The following is a 26,627-nucleotide window of genomic DNA, read 5'->3' as shown; positions in this document are numbered from 1 at the left end:
TAAATTTTAGTGAATATTTTATTTGGACATTTTAAAGTTTAGCTTTGTAACCAGAAGGTATGAAGGTGAACATTTATTCATAATCATTGAAATCTAACCAAGTCCTATTGCAGTTTATTTGTGGGTAGAATGGTTGGAAGTAGCATGCTCAAGACATTTAAAATTTTGAAAAAAAAGTCATGCATCTGATTGATCACCATATATGCTCCCAGAGCACAGCTCCTCCGTAATCCTGCTCTTCAGTGCTAGCATTGTTGATTCCTTGGATCCTGTATTTTCCTTCCTCTTCTCACTTGATCCCTTACTTATGTCTGTCAAGGACTGAAACGCAGTGGAAGGTGCAGGGAATTTTTGTAGGAATTGTTTGGCTTAATAGTCCATCAGCCTCCTGATGTTCCCAGAGTCATGCCCTCGTCTCAGGTGAAGCTGTGGAAGTGTTTGATGGAAACAGCTGTCCCTCTGTCGTTTTGTGAAGTTCTACTCCAAGTGGGAGTTGGGTGATATGGTTTGGATGTTTTCCCTCTCCAAATCTTATGTTGAAGTATAATTCCTAGTGCCGGAGGTGGGCCCTGCCGGGAGGTAACTGGGTCATGAGGGTGGATCCCTCATGGCTTGGTGCTGTCCTGGTGACAGTGAGTGAGTTCTTGAGAGATCTGGCTGTTTAAAAGTATGTGGCACCTCCCTACCACTCTCTCTTGCTCCTGCTTTGCCATGTGAGACGCCGGCTCCCCCTTCACCTTCTGCCATGAGTAAAAGCTCCCTCAGGTCTCCCCAGAATCCGAGCAAATGCTGGCACCATGCTTTCTGTACACCCTGCAGAACTGTGAGTCAATTAAACCTCTTTTCTTTATAAGTTACTCAGTCTCAGGTATTTTTTTTTCTTTTTAATTTTGTTTATTTTTCTAGTTTTTCTTTTTTTTTCAAATTCTCCCAGATCCTGATCAGGTACTTCTTTATAGCAACACAAGAACAGCCTAACACACAGGATTAAGTTGATTCCAGGTAAATAAATTAAGAGAAGCAATGACTCGCTGGAGACAGCAGCAAATTCAGCCCAGTTTTATTGCAAATAAAACAAGTCATTCAAGTGAATTGTGGAAATTGAGGGTGCACGTGAAGGGGTGGCAAGGGAACGGGACTCTTGAAGATGGTCAGTGTTTCCTTGGTTTGAACTTCAAAGCCACACTGTTGATGCAAAACCTCTGACCATTGGGCCCAGGTCCATCAGGAAACACGTGACCTAGATGAGCTTCACACTGCAAAGGACAGAAGCCTCTGTCATCTCCAAATGCAAACAAAGCTCTTTATGTAAAACCAGACAGACGAACCCCCCCAAAATCACTCCACTCCGGAGTCTGACATCTGTGTTAGGAGAAAAAGTCTATTGCATCCGAATTCAATTAAGAAATGAAAGAAAGCAGAACACAGTCATGGTAAATAGTTTTACTTTATCAATAGGATGTGAGCAAGTTATTAAATTTGGGCCTTTACAGTTACTCATCTAAAAATGGGGATAATTATCATACCTACATAAGAGAGCTGTGGGGACAATTAATTGATATATTACATGTAAAGCATTAACATAATTCCTGGGTAAGTACTGAATAATATTGTAGTACCCAGTGTATTATTATTATTTATTACTTAAGGCAAAACCACGCTATCTTAATCAGCTTGCCTCTAATGTTTTACAAAACCCATGAGTCAGAAAATGTGAGCAGCTAAGGATATCAAAATGAATTTGTGATCTGGATTTAAGCCACTCTCTCCTACGGGGCTCACAGAAGGCAGAGGTGCTGACGTCACCCGCAGCATTGCTCTGCAGGCCAGTGACACGCTGCAGGGTGCAAAAGGAGGGTGGAGAGATGGAGGTGCCAGTCACACTGGGTAAGTCAAAGATGAGATGCCAGTCACTCTGACAGGATAAGGACTTCCTGCTCCTTATCCCTGCTCAAAAGAAGGTGAAGATCCTACCTCTGTTCTCATCTCTGTGGAAGGTTAGAACCAGGAAAGGCCACATTAGAGAGAGGCTGGAGAAGACTTTTCTCTTTTTTGCAGTGCCCAGATTGAAGGGAGAGAGTGATCGTTATTGGCATGTGTAGAAACCCCATGTGTTCTGGGCTGGGTGTGGTGGCCCACGCCTGTAATCCCAGCACTTTGGGAGGCCGAGGCAGGTGGATCACTTGCGGTCAGGAGTTTGAGACCAGCCTGGCCAACATGGCGAAACCTCATCTCTACTAAAAATACAAAAATTCACTGGGTGTGGTGGCAGGCACCTGTAATCCCAACTACTCGGGAGGCTGAGGCACTTGAACTCAGGAGGTGGAGGCTGCAGTGAGCTGAGATCATGCCACTGCACTCCAGCCTGCAAAACAGAGCGAGACTGTCTCAAAACAAAACAAAACAAAACAAAACAAAGCAAAACAAAAAAGAAACCCCATGTGTTCTGAAGACAAAAGAAAGTACCCCTATAAAAGGACACCAGATTTGCCAAGAACAAGAGAGCTCTTTGTGGCATTGGGGGCAGCATCAGGGAAAGTAAAACAAAATGAGAAACCTCACCTGCTTGCAGACAACCTCTGTGCGAGCTGATCCTAACGAGGTATCCAGACGTCTCAGGATCCCTGTGTGGCTTTCATCAGAGCCAGACGTACCATGAGCCTCGGAAAACGAAGGCCACCCAGTGCCAGAGCAGTACTTTTTCTCAGAACTGTGGAAGACATAAACGATACTACAGCTGCTAATGACACTGTCATTAACATGCCAAGAGGTGCCCCGATGTGTTGTTCCAGGCAGCAGGATCTGTTCCCACTCTCCTCTGCCAGATCCCATGCCCAGTTATTCGACAGTCAGTCCCCCCGGAATCGTCCTCACTGCACCTTCACTATCGAAGCCATTGCCTCTCGAAGTGGAAGGACTTCTTGATCCTTTGATGCTAAAGACTTCTTTCTGGATATCCAACAAGGATCTAAAAACACATGGTGTTTTGTGAACTGTGTTGCATATTAGGTAACACAGATCAAACCCATGTGTTGAAAATGTCAAAAGGGGAGAAATCAAAACGAAATACTAATGCTCGGAGGAAGTCATCATCATCTTAGAGCAGCGCAGAAGTGTAAGGTCTGATGAGAAAGTCATGCTTGGCAACAGGAATTTCAGGTTATCTCAACACAGACGCCTGACCAGGGATTCAAAAGCTGCCTCTGGCCACTTCTTAGCTGTGTGAAACCACAGCTCTTGAAGCCTCAGTTTGCTCACCTAGCAAATGGGAATAATATCTACCCTACAGGGCTGTTTTGAGGATTTGAGGGGAAACTGAAGTGTGACATAAAGCTTAGCACGGTGCTGGGCACATGGTAAGTTCCCTGAATGCTTGCTGTGATGGTGATGATTAGTATTAATTAATACGCCTGGGTACCTGGCATCAATCACTGCAGTGAAACCTAACCCTCCAGAAGTCTCCCAGGGACTCATGATGCTGGCACAAGGAGAAGGACAGCAGGCAAATCCACTCACCAAAGACCCACCCTCTAAGTGCTCTCATGGATAAGCTCCCTTAAATGGCACTGGGAAAATAGACTTCAAAAATTGCTGTGGCAAGGAAATGGCTCTCTCTATCTAAGGAAGAAAGAGAAGAACTGAATGTTAGACCCAGCCAAAAAAAAAAAAAAAAAAACAAAAAACTAATCTAAGAAGAAAAAGTAGCAAAGAATCAAATCCCTAGACTATGAACACAGAAGGAAGCCTAGCTGGCAGCACAAACTCCCACAGAAACAATTGTGTAATGCAGCAATTCTCAAACATTTTGGTCTCGGCACCCCTCATGTCCCCTCTGTGTCCCCAAAATTAATAGGGATTGCTGAGAGCTTTTGTCTGTGAGTTACGTATGTCAACATTTAACAAATTATACATTATAAATGAGAATTTAAAAATATGTGTGCATTAATTTTTTTTTAATATAGGTTGAGTGCCCCTTATCTGAAATGCTTAGGACCAGAAGTGTTTCGGATTTCAGATCTTTTTGAATTTTGCATTTTACTTGATGGCTAAGCATCCTTAATCTGCAATACTCCAGTGAGCATTTCCTTTGACTAGCATGTTGGTTCTCAAAAAGTTTCGAATTTTGCTGGCGTGGTGGCCCACGCCTATAATCCCAGCTTTTTAGGAGGTGGAAGCGGGTGGATCACTTGAGCTCAGGAGTTCGAGACCAGCCTGGCCAACATGGTGAAACCCCCTCTCTACTAAAAATAGAAAAACTAGCTGGGCATGGTGGTGCATGCCTGTAGTCCTAGCTACTTGGGAGGCTGAGGCAGGAGAATAACTTGACCCCAGGAAGCAGTGGTTGCAGTGAGTGGAGATCAGTCAACAGAGCGAGACTCTGTCTCAAAAAATAAAAAAGTTTCAGATTTGGGTGCATTTCAGATTTCGAATTTTCAGAGTAGAGATGCTCAACCTGAAATAAATTTATTATATGTTAACATAACATATATTTAAGGCAAATAATTATACTTTTCAAAATGAAACAAACATTTCATGAGAAGAGTTGCACTGTTTTACAATTTTGCAAGGCTCTTTAACATCCGGCTTAAAAAAAAGACAACTGAATCTTCATATGTGCCTCTGAATTCAGTCTGTTGCTATGTTGTTTTGATTGGAGTATAAGAGGATGTGGCCTCAAGTGGTCTCAAGTGTGGTTGGAAAAGCCCCTAGAAAGGTCCCCCCCAGGAATCTCTGGGGTCCTCAGACCAGGCTTTAAGAACCACAGGTATAGCCATTAGAGGAAGGGCTTTGACTTCTGAAAGATTTGTGTGTGAATCTGGGATCTGTCTGTTACATCTGTATCACCTTGGCAAGTCATTTAATTTTTTGAAGCCTCAGCATCCTAGTCTATAGATAAGTATAAACTAAAAATAAAGTTCTAAGCCACCCACTGACTGAATAGAGCCCTTCTTGGCCAAGAGGACTCCAGAAAAACCTTTAAATCGAGTTTCCGGTCATGATGGGACAGGAGGTCAGACACACCTCATTATACCCTCTCCCTTTTGTGGTTTAGACACAACAAATGACCAGCATTAATGTTTAAATAGAGATCATAAGACTGGCAGAACAGCCTCTTTGTGGCAATAATATACCAAATTATAAACAGGACCTAAGGCCATGCCAGGCGAGGGTGAAGTCATGCACCCCTACACTTAAAGAATCAACTCTAACTGCCACAGGGGTTTTCTTCTTCTCTAGCAGCTAAACAATCACTGGCCTTGAGATAAGCAGTGTTGAAGCAATTGCAGCTCATCTACCATCAGACACTGACTAGCTGAGACCCTCTGTTCCACCAGCCGTAACTACAGCTTTGATTGCACAAGAGACTGATTTTAGTAACTTTCTCCTGATTAAAAGACCATGAAGTGGTTCTGGATGGTTTACAGAGGCTGTGCACTTGTGGGCCTTCATATCCTGAAAGACCTTTTGATGTATAGGATCTAATTATAATACATTTAAATGTTAAGTTTCTACCCCCAAATAAACATAGGTCATATGTTACATGCATGTTTGTTCAATATGTGTATGTCAGGACCATCTTCACAAATTTTCATAGCCCCTTCTGTGATCTGTTAAATAGGTATATTTAGCCAACCCTCTCAGCATAAAGCTCCTACCCCAGCTGCTCCCCCTTCCAAGTGCCTGCATCTGCTCTTGGCTGGGAGCTCGCTTCCCAGCCTGTAGGATGGCCACCTTGAAGGCTGTAACCCTTTAGAAGAAATAAAGTCTCCTTTTCTAAATTTATAGATTGTATGATTGTTTTAAGCTAACAATAGCAATGGCATTATCACCTCACTTTCTGTGTGTGTGCTTAGCATAGTACCTGACACATGGCACTTGAGTTGGTAGCTATTTTTTAATATTTTTTTATTATTAATACCAGAAATCTATGGAATGTGAGCAGTTGTGGGTCCAACTAGAAATGTCTGCATATTCAGGTCGGATTCTTTGCAACCCTCCTCCAGGGGTTCAAAAACATTCATCTGGCCACTCTGCTCAGGGAAAAACATCATTAAGTATCTTTTAATCCCAGTCTTTCCATCCTCAACATTATATATCAACTAGTGATCATTAAAGGTATTTTGATTGAGAATTATGAATACAATAAAATTTTTTAAATAAATGAAACTAAGGCTAATAAAAACTCATTAAAGCATTTTATGGGAAACAATAAACCTTTATTGATGCAATTAGCAGAATCGGGAGATTTTTACCAAGTAATATGAGAGGCCTAACATATATAAGTTAAGACTGGGAACCAAAATATTAAAGCCAATCAGAAATTCCAATATACATATTTAAGTGATTAGCAGATTGTAAGGTTTGCCCTTGAAGAACTAAAACCATTCTGAATCATATACTCTAAGGGATTTTTACTTTGTTTCGTTTTATTTGCTTTGGTTTTCCTTGATTTCTGGAAGTTCTACAGGTCCCAAACCAACAGCACAGGCACTTGGTGATAACTGACAACCCTAACCTCTTAGAAGAATTTCTATTCCTTTGAGGGAATGGGGCATACAGAAGGTTTTTAACAATATTACTTAGTTACTCATGGTACATACGACATCAGGATATTACGTAAAAGGTGAACTAGTATCAGGCTCTGTTTCCTCTTATTTTAAGAAGATTTGTGATCATGAAATATGTGATCCCACAATAGATTTTAATAAACACATTCCAAATAGGCTCATGTAGAAGAAGAAAGGGAGAAGGAGGAGAGGAAGTGGCAGTGATGGGCAATGTCACTTCATTCCGAGTTAAGGAAAGAGAGTCTGGAGTCCCTAGGAGTGTGACAACACATTCTGGAAAGTGTTCTTGACCCAGACACCTTTGATTAAAGGTGTCTGATTTGGAGAGGCAGAAGCTCTCCAAAACTGTGCACCAAACTCATTCCAACAATTATAGGATGATGAGGAGAATGACGCTAAGTCTGGTGGATGAGGCTGGGAACAAGGCTCTGGAAAGGGAACTCATGAGTTACACTGGCTGGGATCACTCTCAGAGGCTGGTTATGTCTTCTGGGAAACTTACACCTGTAATAAGGAAAGCAGGCACCAAAAGGCGATGGCACCTATGTCAACGGAGCTGCCCGTGTGGCTTAATGGAAGCTCAGCTAGTGAAGAATGTGGGCTCTGGAGTCCAAAACTGTGGGTTCATATTTTGGCTGGCTACCTGTAAGCTGCAGAACCCTGGACAAGTTATTTCATCTTCCTAGCTCTCAGTTTCCTCACGTGAAATGAGAATGATAATAACACTACGGGGAGCTGCCGAGAGGTCTGACGAAACGATGCACATGAAGAGCCTGGGCATGGCACCTGCCGCGTGCCCAGAGGGCTCCTTCATTGCTGGGGTGCTTCCCACTCTCAAGAAGAGTGCAGTGGAGCCCAAATCCCTGCACTATCACTTACTAGACAAGTGACCTGGAACAAGTTAGTTAAATTCTTTAAGCCTCAGTTTTCACATCTGTTAAGTGAGGGTCTTAATAGCTCCTTATTGGAGGGTGAGGATTGTTTGCAAAGTACTAGAGCCCAGTGTCTGGCATGTAAGTGCTCAAGAAGTTGCAGCCACTTCCCTCACATTTTCACAGTGATTTCATAATCACAGCTTTTTTTTTTTTTTTTTTTGAGATGGAGTCTCACTCTGTCACTCAGGCTGGAGTGCAGTGGCTCAATCTCAGCTCAATGAAACCTCTACCTCCTGGGTTCAAGCAATTCTCCTACCTCAGCCTCCTTAGTAGCTGGGATTACAGGCATGTGCTACCACGCCCAACTAGTTTTTGTATTTTTAGTAGAGACAGGATTTTGCTATACTGGTCAGGCTGGTCTCGAACTCCTGACCTGCAGTGATCCACCCGCCTTGGCCTCCCAAAGTGCTGGGATTACAGGCATGAGTCACCACGTTCAGCCCGTAACCACAGCTTCTGATAGTCCCAACATTGCTATGATGTCTAAGCAGCAGGATGGATATTATTAATCAACCAATCAATACGTACTTATGGAGCATCTAAGTATTAGTTTCCAAGGTGGCTGTAACAAAGTACCACAAAATGGGTGGTACTCTCTCACAATCTTGAAGATAGAAGTCCAAAGTCAAGGTGTCCACAGGGCTCTGAAGCATCTAGGGAATCCCTCCTTGCCTCTTCCTACCTTCTAAGGTAGGCAGTCTTCGGTTTGTAGCTGCGGATCACCAATCTCTGCTTCCGTTTTCACATGGCTGTCTCCTCTCTGTCTGGGCTTCTCTTCTTCTTATAAGGACAGCAGTGATTTTGGAATTAGGGCTGACCCTACTCCAATATGATCTTATCTAAACTAATTATACCTGCAGCCACCCTATTTCCAAATAAGGTCACATTCCCAGCTTACAGGGATTAAGACTTCAACATGTCTTTTTGGGAGACACAATTCATCCCATAACAACTTCCATGAGCCTTGTCCAAGAAGCATAAGATGGCCAAGGGACTCGAAAGCTAATCAAGTTTATCTCCTTAACTAAATAAAATACTTGATCCAATAGGAGAATAATTAGGTCCTAAATTGTGTGATACTGATAAATTAATAGGAATTTGAAGCAGATTAAAAAAAAACCCATGGTGTGTGCTATCAGAGAAGGTTTCAGGAGAAATCTGGGATCCAAAAATAAGTGGAATTTCAATTAGTATTAGTGGGGCTGAGCAGATCCCAGGAGGCCAGCTCAGCATGAAGGGAAGTCCCAGGCAGGAAGCAGCCAAGCTGGAGCAGGGAGCTCAAAGGAGTGAGCCCTGCATTTACTTGTTAAAAGAACTACTTAGTTTTGGTTGACCAACTTTCCCTTCACTTTCACTCCACACAAGCATTTGAAGGAATTATTTTTTCTGTACCTCTGCTTCCTACTATAGAGACTGGAGACCAGAGACAGAAAGAGAAGGAAAATGAGAGGCAAAACCAGAATATATTTCTAAAACTCCTCTTGAACAGGAAGAAGTCTCAGGAATATAGTCTGCATTTGTATGTTCTCATTAATTAGAATATATCCTCCAGAATTCCTCAGGATCAAAAGCGCATTCATGTATACAGCCCTAAGAGGGATCTATTGCTTAAGAACACATCATTACGCCCGGGTGCGCTGGCTCACGCCTGTAATCCCAGCACTTTGGGAGGCCAAAGCGGGTGGATCACCTGAGGTCAGGAGATCAAGACCATCCTGGCTAACATGGTGAAACCCCGTCTCTACTAATAATACAAAAAATTAGCCAGGCATGGTGGCACACGCCTGTAATCCCAGCTACTCAGGAGGCAGGAGAATCGCTTCAACCTGGAAGGCAGAGGTTGCAGTGAGCCGAGATCGCGCCACTGCACTCCAGCCTGGGCGACAGAGCGAGACTCCATCTCAAAAAACAAAACAAAACAACAAAAACATCATTACTAACTTGCATCAAGTGCCTGGCCTGAGTCAGTCATGTCAGGCATTGCTCTATGCTTTTCCATGTATTAATTCATGACTCAGATTATCCTCCCAACAACCTTATGAATTAGGTACTATTATCTTCATTTTACAGGTGAGGAAATCAGACACAGAAAGGTTAAGAAATTTGCTCAAGGTCACACAGCAATGGAGCCAGGATATACACCTTGGCAATCTTAACCATTCTACTGCCTCTCCCATAAATGAGTGCATCTTTAAGAATAGTATATTCTGGAACATAAATAATCTTCAGGAATATATTATTTCCTTCAGCTGCAGTAGCAGCAACAGGAAAGGGGAAGAGAAACAAACTCAGAAGTCTTTAAGAATGCAAAATGGAAACTTTTCAGCTCAAACTAAATGGTTACACAAAAACAAATAAAGTTAGTGAATTGGCAGTCTCATAAACTGGCCACTTGGTCAATGGGCTTTTGGAGAATCGGCTGGTTTTCCTATTAGTCTTGGCTGCTTCACAACCTCCAGGACCTGGAGTTGGTCACTTAACTTCCTTAATTTGAACTAGCATTGTGCTAATATAGTAGCCTCTGGCCACATGTGGCCTTTTAAGTTTAAATTAATTAAAATTACATTTAAGTTTAAATTAATTAAAATTAAAGTTTAAATTAATTAAAATTAAATTTAAGTTTAAATTAATTAAAATTAAATTTAAGTTTAAATTAATTAAAATTAAATTTAAGTTTAAATTAATTAAAATTAAATTTAAGTTTAAATTAATTAAAATTAAATTGAAAAAGTCAGCTTCTCAGCCATGCTAGCCACACCTTGAGTGCTTAACAAGCTTATGTGATGAGCAGCTACCACATGGCCAGATACAGACATCTCCATCACCACAGGAAGTTCTACTGGACAGAGCTTTCTGCTCTGGACTCAGGACCCTCCTGGCTCCAGTATTCTGACACCACAACTAAGCCTGCAAGGTGAAAGGAAGGGAAGAAGTCCCCCCCTTTTTCAGATGCAGAAACCGGAACATCAAGGAAGGGGAAGAGTGAAGACTGTGATTTAAGAGAATGCTCTTGCGAGGATGATTTATCTTCTGTATTCACAGTGCAAAGAGGGAGACAGAGCACTGCCTGGTGCCTGCGGTAACAAGGGAGCCCTTGACACGCTGGCAGCATGGTTCTATGGCTGAAAGCTCATGGGCCATCTCAAAATCCTACCTCTCCTCTTTAACACAACCAAAGGTCAAGAAATAACTATTGTCTCAGAAACCTGAGTCCCACATTTTACTGTGCAAAAATTAACCTCCTTCTAGTTTCCCCCATGCCAACGTGAATGCATCCGGGCAAAGGCCTGCCCATCTGTGAGCACGGAGGAAAATCGATGCTAATCGCTCCTCATCCTTGCAGGCGGGTCCGGCTTCCTAAGGCAGCCCACATTAGCAGCCAGCCGGGCAGGAAGGCCCAGACTGCTCAAAGCCCAGAGGACAGAAGGAAGCACTGCCTAATGGGCAATGCACAGAGCTGGCTTGATTTATATTTTATTCTAAACCAATTTAGGGTTGATGCAAAAGAAAGGAAAACATCTTTGAAGTTCTGAAAAATAGGACTTCAAAGATGTTTTCCTTTCTTCTCCATCGAATCTACTTTTTTTTAAGACTGTTTCCTGCATGTCTAAACAAAAAAGCCTTTGTTGAGAGATTTCAGATCCTGATTGACTTAAAAGAGGCTTTGAAATCAAGGGACAAATAAGTTTACTTTTAGCTATATAGAAGAGGGTATGGTATTCGCTACTGTCAAGCATTGTGGGGAATCTATCCTCATAAAATTCTACATTTCCTAAATTAAATTATAAACCCATTTTCCCTGGGAGAGAGTTTTAATCACATGGCCCAGCAAATATAATCACGGTTTAGATTTCTTTAAATACTTTCCCTCTAAAAAAAAAAAAACTCTAATAGCTTTATCATAAGGGGCCCACTGAGTTTTATTTCCTTGCTATTTCTTGAGGATAGAGAAAGGAAGAATATAAGCTAAGAAGTCTTGTTAATGGCTCTAAATGCTAGAAAAAAAAGTCAAGACAGGCAAGTATCTTATATGAATAGCTCTCCTTACAGCAACAATGCAAAATGAGAAGAGCAATTTAAAAAACAAAATGGGTATTATGGGTATTTATTTATCCAAGATCTCAAATGAAACAAAGCAGTAAGAACCTGGAGGTTTGGTCTCCTTCCGTGGCTCTCAATTCTTTATCTTACCTGAAGAGTGGACTGTCGCAGCACACGCAATGATACATTCCTGCTTCCTTGTTATTCAGGTAGATCCCACTGAAAGGCTGAAAGTAAATTAGATATGTCATGTTCAGATTTCTCATACTACTGGCAGGAGTTGAAACAGCAGATTTAAATCCTGGGTAAGTCCCCAAATCAAGGAATTTCTGTACTAATTTGACGAAGTGCAAATAACGCCAGAGAGAAAATTATAATGTACCCAATGAAGCAGCCTGCAGATGTATTTACAGCCTGGGCTTTATTGCACCCAATATTCAAATTATGACTTTGATAATCTTTGTATTCATACAGGACTTTTCATCCAAGAGCATCAAAGTCGGTGAAAAAGCAAGAAAACAGAGTCTTGTCCTCTGTGACTGTGTGAGATTTCGGTCTCCCTTTTAAAAGAGTTAATACAACAGGAATCTAGTCCACTGTCTAACATACTTTGAAATCTCCAATTAAAGACAGAATATAAATACATAAAAAGCATAGTTCAGTGAGATCAGGCATTTTGCCTTTAATATGCTTCACATAATGTTTAGGACACAGCATACTTAATAAATGTTAAATAATGAGCTAGATTCCCCACCCCCTCAGTGCCCAGGTTACTACTTAGATGAAATTACTGCGTTCATTGTGGGTTACAGGGTTTGCAAGTTTTCAGAGGTATTCTGAGAGGAGAACAAGGAGACAAGTCAATGAATTAGCCAAGTCAATATTTTTTAAAATGTTATTTCTCAAACTTGATTTTTTTTTTTTTTTTGAGATGAAGTCTCACTGTCACCCAGGCTGGAGTGCAATGACACGATCTCAGCTCACTGCAACCTCTGCCTCCCAGGTTCAAGTGATTCTCCTGTCTCAGCCTCCCGAATAGCTGGGACTACAGGTGCACGCCACCACGCCTGGCTAATTTTTGTACTTTTACGGGGTTTCACCGTGTTAGCCAGGCTGGTCTCGAACTCCTGACCTCAAGTGATCTGCATGTCTTGGCCTCTCAAAATGCTGGGACTACAGGCATGAGCCACTGCACCCGGCTGATGACTTTTTTTTAAAGACCATTTTTGCCCAATTTCTTTTGTCATCTCCCCTGTCAAAGAAAATTAAATAAAAAACAACCCTTGCACAAGCTGACCATGAAGATCCGCTATCACAGGGCCTGGCGGCAGGCACTGTCCCCTCCTATGGGCCAGAGGAAAGCCAGAGCACAGAACAGCTCACCAAGTGACAAAGCTGACTCAGGAAATCTTCAGATCCCTCCAGGCTTCCCAACTCAAAAAATTCACAGTTTAAACATCCAAATTCCCTGTGGTAGTATTAACAGCACATTTGCAGTGAGCTGTATAAAAGACAATTTCAAATTAACCTACTGAGCCTACCATCTGGGTACACTTGGATGTTTTCCTTCTTTAAAACCCTAAACTTAGCTGCAGAAATCCAAACAGTAGTGAGCTGGTCCTTTATGGCCGGTCCCCTCAAATGCCTGCTTCCAACACTGGCACTAGTTAGCAGCTGTGAAGAAGAGGAAGTTGGCCAGGTGTGGTGGCTCATGCCTGTAATCCCAGCACTTTGGGGGGCCGAGACAGGTGGATTACCTGAAGTCAGGAGTTCAAGACCAGCCTGGCCAACATGATGAAACCCCATCTCTACTAAAAATGCAAAAAAATGCCAGGCATGGTGGAGCACGCCTGTAATCCCAGCTATTCAGGAGGCTGAGGCAGAAGAATTGCTTGAACCTGGGAGGCAGAGGTTGCAGTGAGCCGAGATTGTGCCACTGCACTCCAGCCTGGGCGACAGAGCCAGACTCCATCTCAAAAAAAAAAAAAAAAAAGAGGAAGTTTCCCATCCTTCCCACCTGGGCTGAAGATGAATGCATGCAAAACAGGACTGCCAGTCCTAAGGCTGATCTAGAAAAGCCTTTTCATAGGATCCAGACAGCCTGGAAAGACTCAAAACATAATTTCATTATTGCAGGGGGGCAGCTGGACAGAGGAAGTGATAGATAACTGCTATCACAGTAAGCAAAATAAAAATTAAAACATCAGTGAAGGCCAGGTGCGGTGGCTCATGCCTGTAATCCCAGCACTTTGGGAGGCCAAGGCGGGTGGATCACCTGAGGTCAGGAATTCAAGACCAGCCTGGCCAACATGGTGAAACCCCATCTCTACTAAAAATCAAAATATTAGCCGGGTGTAGTGGCAGGCACCTGTAATCCCAGCTACTCGGGAGGCTGAGGCAGAATCGCTTGAACCCAGGAGGTAGAGGTTGCAGTGGGTCAAGATTGCACCATTGCACTCTAGCCTGGGCAACAAGAGCAAAACCCCATCTCAAGAAAAAAAAAAAAAAAATCAATGAAAAGGAATACTCAGCCAACATAGTTTCTGAAATGACATCTACCCACTCTCTCCTTGCCTAGCTTCCTGATGTTTCCCTCCCTCTCCAATTTTATACAAGTCCTGTAACTTATTTAGGGTTAAACTCAGCTTCTATCTCATTTCTAGTATTGACATGATAATCTAATATAAACCCAGGCTGAGCTGGGTGCTAGTGTTGCAGAGGTGGGCAGCAAAACAGTTTCTGCACTCAAAGAATTTGCTCCCTAAGTGGGAGGAAGACACACGTGAGCTGACAATTTATACCATGTGGTGACAGCTATGATAGAGATGGCATGGAGTTCGGGTAGCGCTGTACCCTTCACTACGAAGGGGGGAGTTTCCACAAAGGCTGACTGTATCAGATATTATCTGAGATGGGAGGAAGTCTTTTTATTTCTTAACCTTTTATTATTATTCTAAATTGCACAACTGATGGTTGTTTATTATAGAAAAATGCCAACACTAAGCTGACTTTTGAAGAGTAAGAGTTAATTGAATGAGGAAATGGAAGAGTATTTCTGGCAGGCAGAATACCTTGGTCAAGGCCCACATGAAAGAAGAGGGCAAAGAGGAGGATGGAGAGAGATGATGCCGGAAGGCAGGTGAGACCAGGCCAGATGGGGTTGGTTAGATCACGACAAACAGCTTAAACTGTGTCCTACTGGAAATTTGAAGCTACTGGAAACTTGTGAACTGGGTGTACGCCTGATTGGAGTTGGTTTTTAGAAAGATCGCTTGACATTCAGGTAAAGAATGAGCTGGAATGGGGCAAGATGCCACCAGAGGCAGAGGGCAATCCGACCTCCATCACACATGCAGGCCTGGAGTGTGCTCCTGCTCAGGCAGAGCAGTGGAAATAAAAGAAAGAGAAGAGATTCAAGAATACTTAGAAGAGAGAATTGAAATGCCTGGCTGCACAGGGAGGGGCCAGGGTCAGAGAGAGAATGATGTTCAAGATTCCCCTGGGATTGCAAGGTCTGCTGGACCAATGGCAGTTCACCATTCCATCTTGTCAATACAACGCACCTGCTGGAAACAGATGACACACTCAAGAGGGATGACTGCAGATAACCTCACACAGGACTGTTTACAAAGGTGCAGACGGGGCCAATGGAAATCCACAAGTGAGGGCAACGCATCCCTGGGCTAATGACTCTGAGAAGCCATGGCCTCCACTAGGCCTGTGGGACAAAGGAAGAGGGAGTGGCCAGAACCTGGTGAGGCTGCACCTGCAGGGGAGGGCTGCCTACAAGAGGGGCCACCTGCAGTACAGGAACACAGCCACTGCCATCCTGCAGCCCCACAGAGAGAACGCTGGGCTCTAGCGATTTCTCCATCCCACCTTTTGATCTCACTGTTGTCTCCCACTGGCTAAACTGAATCAATAGCTGGGGGAAAGGGAGCTGCTCACTCTTCCTAGAGCTCAGAGCAGGGGAGCCCGCGGAGAGTGGATCTGGAGAGTAGACAGAGAATGACCTGCACAAAACCTCCCTTCTATTGATACTTGACTTTCAGTTATTGCTCAGCCATCCTGTAAATTTATTCGTTGGTCTAGCAGAGTGCTAGCACATTACCGTTGCCCAAGAAAAAACATGCGGGAGGGAATTTTAATTTAGAGTCACCAAAGAGAAGCCTTCGATGTTTTATTTCTCTTCTCTTAGGTGAACAAAGCTAATGAAGGCTTACATTTCTGCAATACTCTAAAAAGTTAAACGTGGAAATGGATCCATGGAAAGGGATTTATAACATTAGTTAAAATAATGAATGATGCTCATTTTGTCAAATGGCCAAATGCAGAGAGTATATTGCACCATCTGTTTGAGAAGCCCACAGATTTATTTTCCTAAACATCTGGCAGCTCATCTCTAGGGTCTGTCTATGTACCAAGCCCTGCCTGGCTCTGTACCTGAGAATTAGGGTTGGCTTAGAATACTCTGGGAATACATACAACTGCTCACAGAGTATCATGTGGTTCCCTTGTGCAGTCTACACAAATGGCTAATGTAGTCTCTTTCCCAACAAGGGCTTTAGTAAAATCCCGCCTACAGGAAGTTTTCAAAAATACCAGCATTTCAGGGGACTTTATTGGAATGTGCTGGCCCTTCTGATGACTTTAGCATTGGAAAAACTGAGGGTGAGACCATGATTACAATGGCAGTGCATGTGGGTAGTGACATGAGTTTTGCAGGTGCTGACAAAGGAAAAAACATTCATACTCTACTATGTTTGAAGCCACAGGGCTGGGGTCCACTCTGTGGGATCTGCTTCACTAGTAAAAATATCTAATAACAAAGTTCAATTCAAAAAAGCTACATTCCAGTAGCTATATTTGGGTCTAAGACAGACCACTTGTTAAGCAACGCGGCACTATGTTCTCATTTATATGTGAGAGCTAAAGAATTTGAACACATGGAGGTAGAGAGTGGAAAAATGGATAACAGAGCCTGGAAAGGGGGTTTCCTACCCTGGAAAGCAGGGGGTAGGGGGAGGATGAAGAGGAGTGGCTTAAAGTCCACAAACATACAGTAAGAGAAAAGGAATACACTCAGTGTTTGATGGCAGAGTAGGAGGATGACACTTAACAAAAATGTATTGTATTCGGGTGACAGACACCCTAAATACCCTGACTCGATTACTATGCATTATATATGTGTAACAAATTTTCTCAAGTACCCCAGAAACTTGTATACACACACACACACACACACACACACACACAGACACACAGAGAGAGAGAGATAAATGTAGCACTGTAAAAAGTGGTGTTATAATGAAGAACCACTGAGGGTTGTTCTCTCAGAAAATGAATGAAAGCTGAGATTGCCAAATGCAGTTTAAATAATGTTTCCACCTCTTACCCGGCAGTCATTCAACATTCACAAAAGTTGATTTTTCGGATGCCTACTAGGCCAGCCACCACGTTAGGTGCCAGGGGTTACAGCAGTGATGGCAAATGCTATGAAGGAAGAGTTCTGCTAGAAGCAACCCTAGCTGGGGGCTAGGAGAAGGTTTGCCAGAGAAAGTGAGATTTGGGCCGAGAGCTACAAGGTAGGTCTGAATGAATGGGTGGAGAGTGTGGGGAGGGATGACGGGAGAGAAGAAGGAAAGCTGGGTGCAAAGGCCTTAAAAGAGAAGGGAGCCCAGGGCATGTGAGAGCTCAAGGGTGGTGTGGCCAAAGTACCGTGTCAAGAGGGAAGATGGCTGGATTTGAGGATAGGGGTGGGAGCCAGGGGCCGTTAGGACCTTATTAGCCATCTCATACTTTTCTTTTTCCTTGAAAGCACTGGGCAGCCACCAAAGGTTTTGAGCTGGGGAGTGATATGGTCAGATCTGTGTTTTCCAAAGAACTCTTTGGCTGCAGTGTGGAGAATGGGTTGGCTGGAGCAAGAATGGCCATGCACAGAGAAGGTGATGGTGACTTGGCCCCACGGGGAGGTGACAGCGGTGCATGGAAGTGAAATGACAGGAAGGTTATTTAGGAGTCAGAATAGAGATGCTGTGTCCAGAGAAAAGTTTCAGGTTTCTACAACTCGATGGATATCAACACCCCGAGAAGGGCACAATGGAAGAGGAAGACCAGGCCTGTGGAGTGTTGCTGGGCAGCTGGGTTTCATAGCTGGACCTATTCCAACTGGCCCCTCACTGCCAACACATGCAATCAGAAAACTGTAAACCAGCTTAGCTTACCGGTTCCGTTCCCTTTTCTCTTGTGACGTAGAACTGCTCCGGGGTTAGTTTCTTTTGCCACTCACTCTTGGCAAGAGGCAGCTCACACGTTGCAAGAGACCCTGTATTGTTAAACAGGAATTTTAAAAATTAAAACAAAAATGCCTGATGGACTTTTCTTCCTTGACCTTTTTCCCTAAGTGTACTGTCACCCAGCAGAATAATCCAGTCCCTTCCTCTCTCTCCCACGAGTTTATTCTTCATGGGGACCAGAAGGCTCAGGCACAAAATGCCTTCATTGACTATTTAATTTAATAAGAAATTAACAAGAAGTAGAGAGCCAGTTTTCTAGTCTTCCTGGGGCACAGAAGTGAAAGAGGCAGCTGAAATATGAAAGAATGCGGAATACATTCCCTTCGGGTACCTAAGGGTAGAAACTGATCCTCTCTTCTCTGATGACTTTTAGAGGAGCAGTTGCTGTCAGAATCTAGCCAGAAGTAGTTGAGGCATTGGGCAGAAAAGAACTGTGAGCTAGTCGGTTATTAAACTCTTCTCCCTTGCTAGTTTATAAGGATATCTCTGATTTTCTTTGTCAAGGGAGGTCTCTATTTTAAAAATCTTCTTGCATGGAACAAAAGAAGAAACTCCCATAGCATATAGTCCTGAAAGAGAAACAGACCTACCATAATCTATTATGATGCTTCATGGTTTTTGTCCATATTTTGTTTTCTTCTTTCCTACTCACCTTGGCATCTATATTACTACATTTATTCACGTGAGTGTAAACCAAGTAACTAGAGCAATACTCTCTTTAGCCAAAGGGAGTAGGAAGCCCAACTCCTATAATAAATGTTTTTAATCATCCAACATTAAGAATCTGAAAGGATTTTATAATGTGTCCAACTCTTCAGTTTGCAGATGAGAAACAGAGGCCCAAAGGGTTAGTAATCTGACTATGGCACTGAAGATGAAACGTTGAATGCCCGTGATGCCAGCACCTATATATCAAACACGTCAGAAGTTACAGTTGAAATTCATTTTAGGTTACAAAAAAAGTCCTAAATTATCCTTCGGCAAGAAAAGACTTATCTCCTCTCCAGTTTATAATACTGAACAATACTGCATTTCCAGTGATACATATAGTTGATTGCTTACATTTTGCTAAAAGGTTTTTAGGCTATTTAATATATTAAAAGTTTTCTTCTTTCTTTTTATTACTGTTATTATTTTTACACAAGGGCTCCCCTAGGAGGTATCTTTTATTAAATACAATCTTTATAAGACTACAGGGGTTTCTTTTTGCTATGAAAATAGATCTCTGAAATTCCTATGGAATATACCTCAGTTAACACATGATTTTTGGGGTATTCGACACTTTGGGAACAAAACAAAATGTATTTATGTGATAATTACTATTGCTCAATGGCCTTCAGAGTTATCACGCAGAATGTCAAGTAATAAATGAAGAAGGAAGTATAGAATTTTTAAAATCACCATTTTGTAAAAATCATCAGAGGATTCTAAAACCCCTGGGTGAAAGACTACTGGGGAACAGATAGTCACATCTTCTCAAAATACAACCCCAAAGTTTATTAATTACAAAAAAGAAAATGCCACTACTTTAACCAAGTAGGCTAAGTTAGCATCACCAACAGTGGGACAAGTGACATCCTGTCTTCCTGATGTGATGCTCTGGAAAGGACACAACATCACCAGTAAAGTTTTCCTGCTGAAAACATTCAATCAGTGTCTCATGAAGAAAAAATCACATAAGTGAAAATTGAGGGAAATTATTCAAAAGAAGGACTGTCCACAACTAAAACCAATGTGTGACCCTTTATTAAATTCTAGATCCCAGAAAAAAAAACAAGAGCTATAAAAGACATTGTTGGTATATGGTGGGAAATTTGAATATCAACTGTGTATTAGACAAGGGTGCTCAATTTCCTGAGAGGAAAACTGTCTTGCAGTTTTGTAGGAAAACATCTTTGGTCTTAGGAAACATGCCGAAATATTTAGCAGTAAAGTGTCATGATGTCTGCAACTCTCAAATGGTTTAGCAAGAGAAATATAAATAAGTAAGTGTGAGTGTGTGAGTGTACGTTTGCGCGTGTGTGTCTCAGTGTTGGGGAGAGAGATGGGGAAGAGCACATGAATCTAGAAAGGAACTGCATCTCTATGAGATTTTTCCTAATAGCCCATAATCCCAGTTTAATTGTGAGGAGAAACATCAAACAATCCCAGACTGAGGGACATTCTACAAGGAACCTGACCAGTCCTCCCCAAAACTGTAAAGGTCATGAAAGACAGAGACAGTTTTGACAAATGTACTATGATGATGTCAGAAGATTACCAGGGGGATCCGGATGAGGGGTCTTGAGAACTCTGTACTGTCTTTATAACTTGTCTATAAATCTAAAATTATTCCAAAATAAAAAAGCTTATTTAAAAAACTATCTTCTCCATGGCTACCCGTGTACCATCAAGCACTACTGGAGAAAATCCCCCACCTGGGGAGAGGGTTGTCCTTATAAACTCAAAGTTACTCATCTCACTGGGGTTTCAGTGAACCATGGAACCATCTTTCCCCAGTCAGCTCTCTTCCCATTTCTCTGCAATGAGTGTTTTAAACCTTTTCCACTCTCAGGAATGTAAACTAGTACAACCACTATGGAAAACAGTGTGGAGATTCTTTAAAGAACTAAAAGTAGAATACCATTTAATCCAGCAATCCCACTACTGGGTATCTACCCAGAGGCAAAGAAGTCATTACATGAAAAAGATACCTGCACACACGTTTATAGTAGCACAATTTGCAATTGCAAAAATATGGAGCCAACACAAATGCCCATCAATCAACTAGTGGATAAAGAAATGATGGTATATATATAGACTATGGAATACTACTCAGCCATAAAAAGGAACAAAATAATGGCATTCACAGCAACTTGGATGGAATTGGAGACTATTATTCTAAGTGAAGTAAGTCAGGAATGAAAAACCAAACATCGTATGTTCTCATTCATAAGTGGGAGCTGAGCTATGAGGATGCAAAGGCATAAGAATGATACAATAGACTTTGGGGACTCAGAGAAGAAAGGGTGTGAGGGGGATGAGGAATAAAAGACTACACATTGGGTACCATGTACACTGCTCGGGTGATGAGTACACCAAAATCTGATAAATCACCATTAAAGAAAGAACTTATTCATGTAACAAAACACCTGTTCGCCCAAAAGCTATTGAAATTAAACAAAACAAAACAAAACAAAACAAAAAACCTTTTCCACTCTCCTCAAACCATGGTATCTATCTACTACGTCTCCCCTTCCTCTCAACAGATTTCACTTTTGCAAAATCAAAAGCCACAAACCTTCTGGCTACCAAACCATCACACTTACTAATACCTACATCTACCCTTTTTCCATCTTGTCACAGTGGAACGAGTGACTGCCTCTGATATGGTTTGGCTCTGTGTCCCTACCCAAATCTCATGTGACATTGTAATCCTCAGTGTTGGAGGTGGGGCCTGGTGGGAGGTGATTAAATCATGGGGACATATTTCCCCTTTGGTGCTGTTCTCGTGATAGTGAGTTATCGAGAGATCTGGTTGTTTAAAAGTTCACCTCCCCCTCTCTCTCTTCCTCCTGCTCTGACCATGTAAGATGTGCTTGCTTATGTGCTTGCTTCCTCTTCACCTTACATCATGATTGTAAGTTTCCCGAGGCCTCCCCAGCCATGCTTCCTGTACAGCCTGTGGAACCGTAAGCCAATTAAACCTCTTTCCTTCCTAAATTACCCAGTCTCTGGTATTTCTTTATAGCACTGTGAAAACAAACTAATACAAGCCTCTTCCTGTCTGTTTTTTTGCCACTTCTGTTCAGGATCCTGTCTCTTCTTGGCCACCTCAAATGATTTAAAAAGAGAATGCTTTAGCCAGAGGCACTAAAAAGAGCAAGAACAGGCTTTGCTAGAAAGAGTGTATGTCCTGGGTTCCTCCTCCCAGATCTAAACTCTGGTCCCGTGGGGGAATTTGTGAGACCTAATCTCTGGCTATCATTGACATTTGTCAAGGAAAGGACTAAACGCATCATGATAAAACACCCTCCTCTTAGCTTTGGCAAAGATCTTGCATTATTCCTGTAGATAGGTAAGAGGACCAACTTCAGGTACAAAGGTTGGAATTTACAGTCTGTGAAGCTGGCTTTATCTTCCTGTCTCCTTTCAGGCAGGAAGTGGAATGGGCTTAGAAAAAAACCCTATTGTCTCCTGGAAGCACTGTCCTTAGTGTGACTCAACAGGCAGTACACTATAGTAGCTGACACTGGAAAGTGGGAATTAGAGAAGAGCTAAAAGTCAGTGGGACTCTCATGAATTGAGCTTTAAAACATGTACTTCTTTCGCTTTGAACCTAAGGCTTGAGTTGGTCTGGGTTCCCAGCTCCCTCTCCCACACCTCTATATTTTGTTACACGTATTAGAGAGTGACTATCTGTTCTTCAGACACCACCTTCTCCCTCTGCCCTAATTTTTTTAAGAGACCGAGTCTCACTGTGTTGCCCAGAATGGAGCACAATGGCTATTCATACGCATGATCAAAGTACACTACAGCCTTGAATGCCTGGACTCAAGCGATTTTCCTTCCTCAGCCTCCCAAGTAGCTGAGACTACAGGTGCGTGACACAGTGCCACGCCATAATATTTTCTTTTTAAGTTTAAAATATATAACTAGTATTTAAATTGCTAACCAAAAGAATTAAGCCTTCATCTAAGTACAATATGGAAAGGACATTTTTAATGGTTCTTTTAATCCTTATCAATGTGGACCTTTTACACTATTTTTAATGTGTGCGAAAACTTTAGTGGGTAGGCAATAATGTTTAGACTAGTTCTTGTTCAAGCACCAATTATGCAACATTTAGCTGCAGAATTTGCCAGCCTAGAAGGCTCAGTCAAGGGCAGACAGACTTTGCTTTGATAGCAAAATGATGAACGCTCAGTTGGGTACACCCAGGTCAGGTTATATGTGGGCTGTATCACTTTAAGAGGTTTCTTTGACCTGGATGTTATGAGCTGAATTGTGACACTCCCTGCCCGCCAACTTCCAAATTCATATGTTGAAGTCCTAATCCCCAGTACTTTAAAATGTGACTGCATTTAGAGACAGGGCCTTTAAAGAGGCAATCATGTCAAAATGAGGCCATTAAGAGGGGGCCCTGGTCCAATAAGACTGGTGTCCTCATAAGAGGAAGGGACAGCAGAGAAAAGGCCGCCTGGGGACACAGCAAGAAGGCAGCTATCCCCAAGTTAAGGAAAGAGGTCTCAGGACAAATCTCAGGACAAGTCTTGGCCTTGGACTTCCAGCCTCCAGAACCGTATGAAAATGAATTCCATCGTTTAAGCTGCCCAGCCTGTGATATTTTGTTATGGGATCCCTAGCAAATGAACACACTGGGGCTTTAGAAAACAACCAAAGTTTAAATAAAAATTACAGTATGAGTAAATTCTGAGCAGTTTTATCAAACAGCAATTTAGGCACGTGTAAATTAGATACACGACAAGGTCTCTCACTTGGGAATGAGTCAAGTCTTCTGGCTACCGTGGCTAGAGAGAGGTTTCAACACTGGCTGTGTCCTTTTCTGTGTGTGTGCAGGTATTTTCTGTCCTCTGCACCACGTGCTCATCCTTTGGGGGCTACACATTTTCCAGATTCCCTCTACATTCTCTTGCTATCTTCACTATGAAAACATTTATCGGTTGCTGCTATTGCATGAGATAACTACACAGCTTTACTTTGAATTATGCCTTAATAAACTCAAATTCCTTGGAGTTCCCTTCTCTCTGTGTGCTGTGATTTGCACAGGCCATATATTTTGTTGGTCAGAAGTTCTACGGGGTGGGCCTCGATTTTTTCATCCCTAAGGAAATCCACTCTTGGTCCTATGGTCACCTACTGGGTGCCTCCTTCGGGTTTTGCTAACCTTCCTGGCCACAGTTGCTATACTGCCAATTGTCACACATAAGCCCACTCCATTTTGATAAATAATGTGTTGAATCTAATGGAACTCTTTAGAAACTGGTATTAAAAGAATCCCCAGCCCATTCTGATCTGCAGAACTAGTCTCTCCCACCAGTGCCTGGACTATTTTAACCCTATGCCCAGGACAGTTTCCTAGCATAGTCATCTCTAGAAAGAATATTTTCCTGAAGCAACAGATTTTTTGCTCCAGAATATTTCTTACTTTCCTTTTTCAGTTTGCTCTTTGTCAATCTGGATTAAAAAAAATCACTCTAAGCATATGAGAAATTGCAGCACTGGAAAAAAATACTGTCATTTCAATATCTTCTCATTTCCCCCCTCCCAATGTCTCCCTCTCTCTCAACACTCCCGAAGCCCATGATGTAAGTTAAATGTAGCTACATTTTTGTCCTTTCCACTTATTTATGTAATCATAACTAACATTTATTGTGTGCCTAAGTGTCAAGCATTGTAACAAAATATTTAATTAAAAAGTTATTCTTTACAACAACCCTACCATTATCATTATCCTTATTTGACAGAAGGAAAAAAAATCTGAAGTTTAAACTTTCCAAATTCAAGAAACATGTCCAAAGACATTGTTACAAACTGAATATTATATGTTCTCCCTGCTCCTCTCCCCACTCCCATATGCTAAAGCCCTAACTCCCAATGAGATGGAATGTGGAGGTGGGGCTTGGGAGGTTATTAGTTTTAGATTAGATCATAAAGGTGAGGCTCTCTTGAGGGATTAGTGGTCCTTCCTGAGACAGTCACCTGAAGGCAGAGTGAGAAGGCAGTCAACTGCAAGCCAGGAAGCAGGTCTGCATCAGGAACCAAATCTGTTCCCACCTTGATCTTGGACTTCCCAGCCTCCAGAACTGTGAGAAAATGTTGTTGAAGCCACCCAGTCCACGGTGTTTTGCAATAGCAGCCTGAGCTCAGACACAGAGCCAGGAAGTAACCGAGAGCCAAGACTCAAAATCTGCATCTATTCATACCCAAGCCCTTCACCACAGAAATACTCCGTTTATCATTTTTAATGGCTGCCTAACAGTTTGTTGGATTGAATTTTCATGATTTACGTAAGTATTTCTTAACTGATTTGGGTTACAGCCAGTTTCCATTTTGTAAGAGACTAGTGCTTAAAGCATCTTTGCATATATCTCTTTGTTCTTCTTTTGAACTATTTCCTTCGAATAGATTCCCAGGAGGGGTGTCTGATAAGGTACACAGCTCCTGTTACCTACTGGTGGCTGGCCAAATTTTATTGTTGCTGGAGAACTTCAGATCCCAGGGCAATTCATTAGGCTGCTTCTGACAGCAGCAATTACAGCCATGAAGTAGTTACCGCTAAAACCACCATCCTTTTTCAAGGGGTTATAGAGAGCTCGTCGGTAACTGTGACCTGTTTCTATCACCTGTGGTTCTCAGCAATACAATGCTTGGCACACAGTAGGCTCACAGCAAATGTCATCAGACTGACTAGAGACACCAGTGATTAGAAAGGCCATAGCTGGAAGTCAAGTTGGATGAGCTAACATTCCACAACGCCAACGCTTTTATTTAGTTACGTATTCTTTCAATATTGCATTTCGAAAACTTCAGGGGCTAAAAAGAGCTCAGAATGAGTTGGTACATTTTCATCAGTTGGGTATCTCTGAATGTCTTCAATGAACACATATAAAATTGGATTCAGAGTGGGTCAGTCTGGCAACCGCCCAGGAAGCCAATCCCCTGGGGCACTAAGTTACCCTGAAATAGAACTGAAATACAGGGGTAGCTGGCACAGGTCTCCCGAGGTGACTCCTTCCTGCTTGGTGAAATGTGCAGGTACCCAGATCCAAGAGAGGATCCAAAAGTATTTAGCAGAAACACACACACACACACACACAGAGAGAGAGAGAGACACACACACACAGGCTCGCCCTGGTCTCTGTCTCAGTCATTAACAATGGCTGTCACCTTAAAGAAGGAACAAATGATCAACCCAGTCTCCCTGGCTCTTAGACACATTTATGGGAAGTCAGCAGGGCAGGAAACACTCACAGGAACCCCAAGTCTGAACTGCCTGCTTCTCAGATGCTGGAAGGAAGCCCGCGGAACTACGAAGAGGGCTGCAATGCAAAATACTAGGGGCCTTCGCAGGGGCGCGCGGGCCGGGCTGCTACAGCCCAGGCCCCGGGCCTTCGCCTGGAGTCCCCGATAGGGGTCAGAGGCCCCCGAGCCCCACTTATGCCCCCACTCCCCGAGCCAAGAAAAAAAAAATTATGCGCACATTTAGGGGGATCATTTGTTCATTTCCTCGGATTCTCACAGGGGTCAGTCCCCACCCTGCCGCCACCAAGTTTACAATCCACTGTCCCAGATCCTCGGGCTGGGGGGGGGGAGGGGCGCGCCGAGGAGGGCTTAGTAGGAGGGCAGCGCCCGGCCTGGACCGGCCCTAGGCTCCCGGGTGCAGCCGGTGAAATGAAGCCGAAAGCCGTAGGCGGCGGCGGGGCCTGCGGGACCCGCGTCCTACCTGCCTCCCCCAGTCCCGGCCCGGTGCCGGGCCCGCCGCCGCCCGCTTGGCCCCGCACCGCCCGCCGAGGCGCAGTTCCGAGGGTCAGGCCCCGGAGCAACCAGAGGAGCCGCGCCATGACGCCCGCTCCGGCGCCGCTCCGCCCTCTGCCCTCTGCCCGTCTCTGCCCCTGCTCCCATCCCACCCCTCCCCCATTCTCTCCCGTCCGCCTGCGCTAGTCGGCCTCCCTCCCCACGCTCCGCCCACACCGCCAGTCCCCTCGTCTCCCTCCCCCTCTTCTCCCTCCCCTGCCCCTCCCTCCTTCCCTCCTTCCCACCTGCTCCTCCCACTATGTGCCCTG

The 26,627-nt window shown here is 43.2% G+C and overlaps 1 protein-coding gene across 2 annotated transcripts, besides 1 other annotated feature; it reads right to left on the bottom strand.

The window, feature by feature from the left end:
* On the bottom strand, positions 1-26,435 carry MSRB2 (methionine sulfoxide reductase B2). Of its 2 annotated transcripts, NM_012228.4 has the most exons (5): positions 26,288-26,435; positions 17,770-17,870; positions 11,696-11,772; positions 2,563-2,710; positions 1-1,256 (listed from the first exon to the last, which is right to left on the bottom strand). In NM_012228.4, exons 1-5 carry the CDS (start codon positions 26,403-26,405, stop codon positions 1,152-1,154), a joined length of 549 nt encoding a protein of 182 aa, NP_036360.3. In that variant the 5' UTR covers positions 26,406-26,435; the 3' UTR covers positions 1-1,151. The 2 variants fall into 2 exon arrangements, with proteins under 2 accessions (NP_036360.3, XP_011517728.1); XM_011519426.3 differs by lacking the exon at positions 1-1,256 and having other exon boundaries at positions 2,563-2,968.
* Positions 26,158-26,627: a silencer, noted in NCBI's record as "silent region_2216". NCBI's record gives its function as "represses an Ori minimal core promoter by ATAC-STARR-seq in GM12878 lymphoblastoid cells {active_cell/tissue: GM12878}" and the evidence as "EXISTENCE:reporter gene assay evidence [ECO:0000049][PMID:35858748]".

Source organism: Homo sapiens, chromosome 10 (genome assembly GCF_000001405.40).
Source record: "Homo sapiens chromosome 10, GRCh38.p14 Primary Assembly".
NCBI lineage: Eukaryota > Metazoa > Chordata > Mammalia > Primates > Hominidae > Homo > Homo sapiens.
The sequence above is the reverse complement of the archived record's forward strand: the minus strand, read 5'-3'. Positions and strand labels throughout refer to the sequence as shown.

Coding starts and splice junctions, on each gene's coding strand:
- MSRB2 (NM_012228.4), bottom strand. CDS start 26,405: ATGGCGCGGCTCCTCTGGTTGCTCCGGGGCCTGACCCTCGGAACTGCG. Junction 17,871..26,287: donor GCCGGGACTGGGGGAGGCAG/GTAGGACGCGGG, acceptor TTAACAATACAG/GGTCTCTTGCAACGTGTGAG. Junction 11,773..17,769: donor GAGAAAAGGGAACGGAACCG/GTAAGCTAAGCT, acceptor ATTTACTTTCAG/CCTTTCAGTGGGATCTACCT.